This window comes from Homo sapiens, chromosome 4 (assembly GCF_000001405.40).
Source record: "Homo sapiens chromosome 4, GRCh38.p14 Primary Assembly".
Classification (NCBI taxonomy): domain Eukaryota; kingdom Metazoa; phylum Chordata; class Mammalia; order Primates; family Hominidae; genus Homo; species Homo sapiens.
In genome coordinates, this window is record NC_000004.12 from 109,012,321 (window position 1) to 109,023,444 (window position 11,124).

Genomic DNA, 11,124 nt, shown 5'->3' on the forward strand with positions numbered 1-11,124 from the left:
GCAGCCCTTGCTCACTCTCAGCACTTCCTCGGCCTTGGCGTTCGCTCTGGCTACGCTTGAGGAGCCCTTCAGCCCGCCACTGCACTGTGGGAGCCCCTGTCTGGGCTGGCCAAGGCCGGAGCTGGCTCCCTCTGCTTGCGGGGAGGTGTGGAGGGAGAGGCGCGGGCAGGAACTTGGGCTGCGTGCAGCGCTCGTGGGCCAGCGCGAGTTCCAGGTGGGCGCGGGCTTGGCGGGCCCACACTTGGAGCGGCCGGCCAGCCGGCGGTGCCAGCCCTGGGCAGTAAGGGGCTTAGCACCTGGGCCAGCAGCTGCAGAGGGGGCGCCAGGTCCCCCGGCACTGCTGGCCCGCCCGCACCACGCTTGAATTCTCACCGGGCCTCAGCCGCCTCTCCGCCGGGCAGGGCTCAGGACCTGCAGCCTGCCATGCCTGAGCCCCTCTGCAGTGGGCTCCCATGTGGCCCCAGCCTCCCTGACGGGTGCCGCCCCCTGCTCCGCAGCACCCAGTCCCATCGACAGCCCAAGGGCTGAGGAGTGCAGGCGCGTGGCATGGAAATGGAGGGCAGCTCCGCCAGCAGCCCTGGTGCGATCCACTAGGCGAAGCCAGCTGGGCTCCTGAGTCAGGTGGGAACTTGGAGAACTTTTATGTCTATGCAGAGGATTGTATATGCACCAATCAGCACTCTGTGTCTAGCTCAGGGTTCGTGGATGCACCAATCAGCACTCTGTATCTAGCTAATCTGGTAGGGACTTGAACTTTTACGTCTAGCTAAAGGATTGTAAATGCACCAATCAGCACTCTGTGTCTAGCTCAAAGTTTGTAAACGCACCAATCAGTGCTCTGTGTCTAGCTCAAAGTTTGTAAACGCACCAATCAGTGCTCTGTGTCTAGCTCAAGGTTTGTAAATGCACCAATCAGTGCTCTGTGTCTAGCTAATCTAGTGGGGACTTGGAGAACTTTTACATCTAGCTAGAGGATTGTAAATACACCAATCAGCACTCTGTTTCTAGCTCAGGGATTGTAAACGCACCAATCAGCACCCTGTCAAAAATGGACCAGTCAGCTCTCTGTAAAATGGGCCAATCAGCAGGATGTGGGTGGGGCCAGATAAGAGAATAAAAGCAGGCTGCCTGAGCCAGCAGCAGCAACTTGCTCGAGTCCCCTTCCACACTGTGTAGGCTTTGTTCTTTCACTCTTTGCAATAAATCTTGCTGCTGCTCACTCTTTGGGTCCACACTGCCTTTATGAGCTGTAACACTCACCACGAAGGTCTGCAGCTTCACTCCTGAGGCCAGCGAGACCACAAACCCACCAGGAGGAATGAACAACTCTGAACGGAAGGAATGAACAACTCCAGACGCGCCACCTTAAGAGCTGTTAACACTCACCGGGAAGGTCTGCAGCTTCACTCCCGAAGCCAGCGAGACCACGAACCCAACCGAAGGAAGAAACTCTAAGCACGTCCGAACATCAGAAGGAACAAACTCCGGACACACCATCTTTAAGAACTGTAACACTCACCATGAGAATCCGTGGCTTCATTCTTGAAGTCAGTGAGACCAAGAGCCCACCAATTTCAGACACAAAATTACAAACATGTGGTCACTCTTGTGCACTCCTCCCCCACCCCACCAACCCCCCTCAGCTTTAAGCTTTTGGTCTTTCTGATGTTTTGAACTACTGCAAACTCAGAAATGTGAACATGTGGCTGGGTGTGGTGGCTCATGCCTGTAATTCCAGCACTTTGGGAGGCCGAGGTGGGCGGTTCACTTGAGGTCAGGGGTTTGAGACTAGCCTGGCAAATATGGTGAAACCCCGTCTCTACTAAAAATACAAAAATTAGCTGGGCGTGGTGGCACGCACCTGTAATTCCACCTACTTGGGAGGCTGAGGTGAGAGAATCACTTGAGTCCGGGGGGCAGAGGTTGCAGTGAGCTGAGACTGTGCCACTGTACTCTAGCCTCAGTTATAGAGTGACACTCTGTCTCAAAAAAAAAAAGTGTAAACATGAATATTTTATAGAATCCCAGAATATATTGCATCTCTTATATGTGTTATGTGAAAGTTAAAATGCAGGATTCTCTAAAATCAGGAAGAACTTCTTCAAATGAAAAATTTGTTTAGTATAGTTGTGATATTTTCAGACTCCTCTGGTGGTTCTACAAGTGACAGACTTTTCCTGTCCATCTTTAATACGTCGCATTCCTGCCATTATACTGACCAAATGATATGGCACAATGTGTGCATACACTTATATGTTATTATATAAAATATACATTGCATTATGGATTTTATGTTAGTGATAGAACAAACAGCCATAAATGACTGTTTACTACTAAAAACTGACATCTATATAGGCATTGAAGAATTTATAGCACTAAAGAACTCAGATTACTCTAACATGTAATATGAATTTCAGGGATGTATGGTGTGTGTGTTGGGGGAGGGAACATGAAAAGGAGGGAAAAGAGGAAGTGGTTGATAGAGACGCTTCCCAGAGAAACAAAGCATACAATGTAACAAATTCGGAAACTCTTATCTAAAACTTGGAATACACAACACAGTCCTTACCACTCTTCTATGAGATTCCAGGACTGCCTATACCACGTCCTCTCACTCACTAGGATGTAACAATCGACACCTAAAATATCTGCAAAAAGACAGTCCGGCAGCGCCGAGTCTTGCAGTCGTCCTAATAGAGCCATCTGGCCAAACCAGGGCCATGACCAGAGGAGAGGTTTCTGGTGATATGGTAATGGTATCTGCTCTGAGCAGGAGCCATGGAATAGAGGGAGAGCAGGAGAGTGTCTCAGAAACTTCCTAGAGACTGAGAGCGTGTGGTGATAGAGACTTTGTCCCAGACTAATCAAAAAGAAACACCTCAGCATTTCCTTAAGTTGCTTCTGAGTAGCTTGATTAATACAAATATTTTCATTCGTTACTGAGTAGTATTGTTCTAGTCTATTGTAATTTAAAGGTAGTGACCACTATTAATAATTAACTGTGAAGGTTAACTTTTTCTAAAGGACAACCTGAATGAGTAGTTGTAAATTATGATTAAGGGTCACAAAACACACCGTAAGTTGCCTTTTTAAAAATGGAATTCCTGAAAAGATCATTTTTCCCAAGCAAATCACCAAAATGCTTCATAAATAAAAACCTGAATCTAGTAAACGTAAAAGCCATGCCAAGTGAAACAGTTAAGTCACAAACATACTGAAGTCAGGAAAATACATGAGAAAGTGGAGAATACTGAGTGCTCTGGGTCACTGACTCACTGTACGTCAACAGCTAAATGCAATGCTCAGGGCAACTTAGGTACCAGCAGGAAGAAGAAGAAACAGCAGGAGAAGCTGATCTTAAAAACTGGTAATCAGAACAGCAAAATGGAAAACAATCAGCCAGTAGCTGATGTTTTACAGGAAAGTATTCACAGGAGGTTGAAAGTTTGGCAATGCAAGTAAGCCACAATGGAACATGATAAATGAGATGACCTATCACAGGAGTATACATTACTTTAGGCAACTAAAGAGCAATATTAACTATTCTTTGTTGGACTGTTGTTGATGGCAGCAGTGGCCCATCTGGAGTGGCTGCTGTGAAGATGCTGGCTGCAGCAGAGGAGGTGCAGCCAGGGCTGTATGCTCCATGAAGCCAGCAGGGACAGGAAGAGGCAGGATCCCTGCCCCCTACTGAGTTGGTGGGGTGGGTGCCCCGCACTTCTGGGGGCAGCTGCAGCTGCCCAGTCATGGCTCCAGACCCAGGCATTCCCTGCATTTAGGGAACCTGGGAAGCCCCTCCTGCCCCTGCAGACTTAGAAGTGCCTGCTCCCACTCTCCGGCCTCTCCCTACTCCTAGTGTCTGCTCCAGGGTGGAGCAAAGTTGTGGCCGAGCCCAGACACTCACAACCAAGCTGGGTGTGTGCATGATCAGGGTAGTGCTGATACAGCAGCCCCCCGCTGCCTCAGCCCCCTCCAGACTTTAAGTGCCAATGAGCAAAGAATGGAGGCCAGTGGGGCTGAGGGCAGCGCAGTGCAGGCCTGCAGGTGCCTCTTGGCATGAACAGCCAAGGTGCCATGGAAGACATGTTGATGACAGCAGGAGGCAGACAGATTCCTAGGCGGAAAGGGGCGGGTCCCTGGTGAAACCCCTCCTTCAAGCCAGGAAAGGCCTGAAGCCTGGGGACCAGACTGCCAGTTCCAGGTCCAGGCCAACCCATGGCTGCCCATGGATCAATCAGCACACACTTTCTTCCTTCTGAAGCCCATAAAAACCCCAGACTCAAACAGACTCACACAGACATGGGGACTACCACCTGCAGAAAGGAGCTACCACTCTGGGTCTTCTATTTGTGGAGAGCTGGACATTCGTCAGGATGACCTGCCTGCAGAAAGGAGCTACTGCTCTGGGTCTCCTATCTGCTGAGAGTTGGACACTTGTCAGGATGACCTGCCTGCAGAAAGGAGCTACCACTCTGGGTCTCCTGAGAGCTGTTCTGTTGCTTAATAAGGCTCCTCTCCATCCTGCTCATCCTCCAGTTGTCCATGTACCTCATTCTTCCTGAATGTGGGACAAGAACTTGAGACCCAACAAATGGCAAGACTGAAAGAGCTGTAACACAGAGCTTAAACCCCTGCCCCTCATTCGCCATGTTGCGAGCACCAGAAAAAAAGAAGAGCTGTGGCCCTTCAGGGAGCCCAGACCTAGGGACTCCCTGAGCCAGGGCTGTGACTCCCTCTTCGGGGCTCTGTGATTTCTGGTGTCTCCAAGTTTCTGGGCACCACCACATTCCCCTTGTCCAGACATGGGTGCCCACAGCAGAAGCCACTTGCAGTGCATCTTATCCAGCCACAGGTTTGCACAGAGCCGGCATCTGTGACAGTACCTGGAGCTGCCTGCCCCACTGCAGCAGTCAGTGTACCTGGCTGTGTGCAATGGCTGGACCCTGGGCTCACTCACACACCCCTCATCATTTGGCGTCTGGCTCACCCTTGGCATGTGTGGGACCCAGGCTGGTAGCATGAGCTGAGCACAGCCTGCCAGGCTGAGTGGGCAGAATGAGCCCAGCAGGTCTGAACAAAACTCAAGCAAAGGTGCCACTGGCCACAAAGGTTTCCAGCTGGAAAAGTGACACCCAAAGGATCCTGTGACATTGTCACAATTATGGTTGCCAGTAAGTGCTAACACAATTCTCTGAATTGACAAACTCATTTGGATCTCTGACTGAGGAAATTAGTTTCACTACATGATACTTTTTTTATGGATGGTAAATCTGTGTCTTTCCTTTTCAGATGAGACAAATGCTGCTTTCCCATTTAACACACTCACAGATAGGCACAGAAAAGTTGTAGTTTTAAAGTATAATATTATTTTGAAATATTGATTAGGATAACAGATTCACGTACATCCTTACTGTGACCAATTTTAAATAAAAAACTTCCATCTACAAAAACTTGAGGAAATATTAACATTGTTCATGCAACTCTAAAAGGTACTACCTCTGTTTCAAGATAATTAGAAAGAAATTGCCTCAATAACTCAGAAACTCATCATTAAGAAACCCAAGCTTGACTACTACTTTTATTTTAGTATACTCATATTCAGATGTTTTTATTCTCTTGAATTGTTGGATTCCTTGCCATCTAAAACAATCATTTGAAATGATTACTATAATTTCATTATCTTTAAAATTCTCAAGTTCACACACTGAGATGTCAAGCTTATTTTTTTTTTTCAGGTGAAAAGAAAAGCACCTATAAAATAACACCTGTAGTAAGCATCCAGATAAAGCTTTAGAACCACCTCAAAAAACTCTGAGCAGCTGCAGGATTGTTCTGGTGGCAGGAGGTCTTGAGGGCCAATAGGAGTCCTGTCATGGAACCCTCTCCTGGCCCCTGATCCCATCCTCTTTCTTTTTTATTTTGAGATGGATTTTTGCTCTTGTTGCCCAGGCTGGAGTGTAATGGTGCAATCTCAGCTCACTGCAACCTCCACCTCCCATGTTCAAGTGATTCTCCTGCCTCAGTCTCCCAAGTAGCTGGGATTACAGGCACGCTCCACCACTCCCAGAAAATTTTTTATATTTAGTAGAGATGGGGTTTCACCATGTTCATCAGGCTGGTCTCAAATTCCTGACCTCAGGTGATCCACCCACTTCAGCCTCCCAAAGTGCTGGGATTACAGGCGTGAGCCACTGTGCCTGGCCCCATCCTCTCAATGGGAACCTTAGCCTTACAAGAGTTGCAGTTTGACCTAGAGTCTGTGCCAGTTAGTGGAACAGATGTATTCTACACTTGCAGCACCAGGGAGTAGGGATCTTGCCCATCCTCAACTCTGTGAATGTTTGCATTTTCTTCTCCAATATCTCAGACCCCAAGCTATAAGGTGCATCTGAAACAATTGCTGAACTGCTGAAAGGCGAGACTCTTTTGACTAGCCCAAAGAGGGTAGACAATAATATTTTTAAAGAACCAGTAGAATGGTTACTATTCTTCATTACAGTGGTATATTTTCAAAATGTAGGTTCTCAATCTAATATTCCAGAAAGTATTCTCTTGGCTTCTGTTCACTGCAGAATAAATGCATCAGTGTTGAAAAGGAAGTCTTACTGTATTAGTTCATTTTCACACTGCTATAAAGACATACCCAAGTGTGATGGTTAATAGGGAGTGTCAACTTGATTGGATTGAGGGATACAAAGTATTTATCCTGGCTGTGTCTGTGTGGGTGTTGCCAAAAGAGAATAACATTTGAGTCAGTGGGCTGGGGAAGGCAGATCCACCCTTAATCTGGTGGGCACAATCTAATTAGCTTCCAGTGAACAAAAAGCAGGCAGAAAAACATGAAAAAGAGAGACCGGCCTAGCCTCCTGCACTGGATGCTTCCTGCCCTCAAATATCAGACTCCAAGTTCTTCAGTTTGGAGACTGAGACTGGCTCTCCTTGCTCCTCAGCTTGCAGACAGTGTGACCTTGTGATCATGTAAGTTAATACTTAACAAACTCTCATATACATGTGTGTATACACACACATACACACACACACACACACACACACACATATATATATATATATATATATATTTATATGTGTATCCTATTAGTTCTGTCCCAGACCCCAACATACCAAGACTGGGTAATTTATAAAGAAAAAAAGTTTAATCAGCTCACAGTTCCACATAGCTGGGGAGGCCTCAGGAAACTTACAATCATGGTAGAAGGGGAAGCAGGCACGTCTTACATGGTGGCAGCCGAGAGAGTGAGCAAGAGCAGGGAAAACCGCCTTATAAAACCATTGGGTCTCAACTCATTCACTATCTTGAGAACAGCACTAGGGAAACTGCCCCCATAATGCAGTTACCTCTCACCTGGTCCCTCCCTTGACACGTGGGGATTATGGGGATTACAACTGGAGATGAGACTTGGGTGGGGATACAGAGCCAAACCATATAATGCACACTCAATGGAATTTTATTCAGATAATAAAGATAAAACTGAGGCAGTCAAAGGCCAGAGGAGGCTATGTATACACCTACCAATATAAAAGAGAAGCACGAAAGTTCCATATTGACGAAAAATTACTTTCTAGTTTGATTTGGTCTCCATATCCAATTAACTTGAAAATATTATATCAAATTACTTCGTAAATTATGCTCTGTAAGTACTGCATGGAGGTTTAAAATAGGTTATATATCTGATTCCAACACTTCATTTCATTCAAATTTAGATAAAGTATCAACTAATTTTTAAAACTAATTATATGCAAATGATATACTAGAGAAGCAATTGAAAACATAAAGCATTATGGATTATGTGTATTAATTTTAAAATGGCTTTGCAAAGACTGCATAATCTCCCAATGTCTATAAGCTGCTCTTGCCAAGAACTCTTATACACTTGACTGAGATAAACATTATTAATAATTTATATTACCTGTTGTGCTATCCTACAGGATAGATATTAATAATTCTGCACCTTAGCTACAGTCAACTAATATTACTTAGATAAGAATTTTTCAATTTAAGGTTTTCTTTTGGAAAACAATTAATTCTCAATGGTTTTAATGCTGAAAAGCAAAAGCCATATTCTACTCCAGAGGAAAATAAGTGGTTCATCTAAAACCTGGTGGATATTTCTTTTTTAAAAAATTTGAAAGAGACAGAGAGCAAGAATGAGCATGGAGATTATTATGGGGGGGGGGGGGTTCAACATAAAAAACAAGATTCAAAACTTGGAAGATTTCTTCCATGATATTTGCTTTTCATAAATATATAATTGTACTTAAAAATCTACTCATGTTTAAACAGGTTGACAAGTTGTCACATTAATTTTAAAATATTATATTTTCTAACACAATACCATATTTATTTTTTCTCTCTTATAACTAACATGTTCATATGTGGAACATAAGTAAAAAATTTTATCACATGCATTTTTGCTATAAAAATTTCACATACAGAACACACAAAAAATAAAGACTCATTCATTAATTTGCATTATTAAATTTTATTGGATACCTAATATTCCACTGAGGTTTATTCAGATTTTTACTATTATAAATAATGTTTATGTCTTTGTATATACAGATGGTCCTTAATTTATGATGGTTCAGCTTACAACTTTTTGACTTTCACAATGGTGCAAGAGCATTCCATAGAAGCTTTTGAATTTTGCTCTTTTCCCAGGTTAGGGATACATGGTGCAATACTCTCTCGATGTTGGGCAGCAGCCGCATGCCGCAGCTCCCAGTCAGCCACTCAGTCACATAGGTAAACAACCAATACTCTACTGTGTACTGTGTTGTTGGCATTTTTTGGATATGGTGTTTTGTATTTTTATGTCATATCATGTCTGCGGAATGCTCATCTGTGTCTCCTGTTTCTGGTGAGAAGAAGAGGAAGGCAATTACTCTTGAGATGAAACTCAAGATAACTGCCCAGTATGAAGGCACAAGCCAGTAATGGCCATTGCAAGAGAGTTAGAACTTTCACTGTTGCGGGAAGTCAGGGACCCCAAACAGAGGGACTGGCTGGAGCAGCGGCAGAGGAACATAAATTGTGAAGATTTCATGGACATTTATCACTTCCCTAATAATACTCTAATAATTTCTTATGCCTGTCTTACTTTAATCTCTTAATCCTGTTATCTCTGTAAGCTGAGGATGTACGTCACCTCAGGATCCTGTGATGACTGCATTAACCGTACAAATTGATTGTAAAACATGTGTTTGAACAATATGAAATCAGTGCACCTTGAAAATGAACAGAATAATAGTAATTTTAAGGAATAAGGGAAGACAACCATAAGGTCTGACTGCCTGTGGGGTCGGGCAAAAAGAGCCATATTTTTCTTCTTGCAGAGAGCCTATAAATGGATGTGCAAGTAGAAGAGATATCACCAAATTCTTTTCCTAGCAAGGAATATAATATTAAGACCCTAGGAAAAGAATTGCATTCCTGGGGGCAGGTCTATAAACCACCGCTCTGGGAGTGTCTGTCCTATGCGGTTGAGATAAGGACTGAGATACACCCTGGTCTCCTGCAGTACCCTCAGGCTTACTAGGATTGGGAAACCCCAGCCCTGGTAAATTTGAGGTGAGACCGGTTCTCTGCTCTCGAACCCTGTTTTCTGTTTATCAAGACAATACGTGCACTGCTGAACATAGACCCTTATCAGGAGTTTCTGATTTTGCCCTGGTCCTGTTTCCTCAGAAACATGTGATCTTCACTCTGCCTTTTGCCCCTTGAAGCATGTGATCTTTGTGACCTACTCCCTGTTCGTACACCCCCTCCCCTTTTGAAATCCCTAATAAAAACTTGCTGGTTTTACAGCTCAGGTGGGCATCACGGACCTGCCGATATGTGATGTTGCCCCTGGCGGCCCAGCTGTAAAATTCCTCTCTTTGTGCTCTTTCTCTTTATTTCTCAGACTGGCTGACACTTAGGGAAAATAGAAAGAACCTACACTGAAATATTGGGGGCGGGTTCCCCCGATATTTCACGATCCATGATATCAACCATCTTAAAGGATAAGATGTGAATCAGTGAGGCAGTGGAATCATCAGCATTGGTTAAATCCATTATCATCACAAAGAGAAGAGGTGGGCTGCTTGATAACATGGAAAAATTACTTGTCATGTGGATGGAAAACCAGATACAGAGATGCATACCGCTTAGCCTACTGATGACTTAGGCTAGGGTAAGAAGTGTGTTCTATAAGTTCAAAGAGTACACCAATGATCCTACATATATACAAATGTTTATAGCAAGACATGGCCAGTTCCAACACTTGAAAATGCATCATAATTTTCATAATATGAAGGTCTGTGGTGAGGCAGCAAGTCCTGATATTGAAGGTAACAAAGCTTTTGGGAAGAGCCACATAGGGTAAGTGTGGATGAGAAGTATTTACCAGCACAAATATTTAAAGTCAATGAAATGAGCTTATTCTGAAAGTATACACCAGAGCATACATACATTCACCACGAGTCCAATGCCAGGGTCTACGGCATTCAAAGGCTGTGTAACACTGCTTTGGGGTGTTACAGGAAAGGCTTTAATTTAGGGTGGAAATGTTGCTTTGGGGTGGAAATGTTGCAGGATTCAAATTAAAGCCTTTCCTAATCAACCACTCAGAGAACCCAAGAGCATTCAAGAATGTGAGCACCATACACTTCCTGTTTATATCACCATAACGAAAAAGCCTGGATATCAGCATTGTTTGAAGACTGGTTTTTGAACTGTTTTATTCCACAGCAAGAAAATATTGTGGGCAAAAACAACATTCCATTCAAGATTCTTCTAATCTTAGGCAATACTCCAGGGCTTCCACAGCATATCAGTGACATGCATCTTGATGTAAATGTTGTGAATCTGCTGCTGAACACAAATGCTTTCATTCAACCAATGGACCAAGGCACAAGAGCTGTGTTCAAAGTATACTGATATGCCAGACATTTGTGCAGGCTGTTGGAGTGACTAAATCTGGCTGCATTCTAAATTCTATCCAAAACATCACCACAACAAGGGAAGAAGTCACACAGCAATGCATGAACGGCATTTGGAAGAAAGTTTTGAAGACATATGTGAACACATCCAAAGGCTTTAACAAAGATTCTGCTGTTGATTAA

At 44.1% G+C, this 11,124-nt stretch overlaps 1 protein-coding gene across 10 annotated transcripts in view; it reads right to left on the minus strand.

Annotated features, from left to right (window-relative positions):
- COL25A1 (collagen type XXV alpha 1 chain) overlaps positions 1–11,124 on the minus strand; it is a 493,934-nt gene that overhangs the window by 203,596 nt on the left and 279,214 nt on the right. The window lies entirely within an intron of this gene.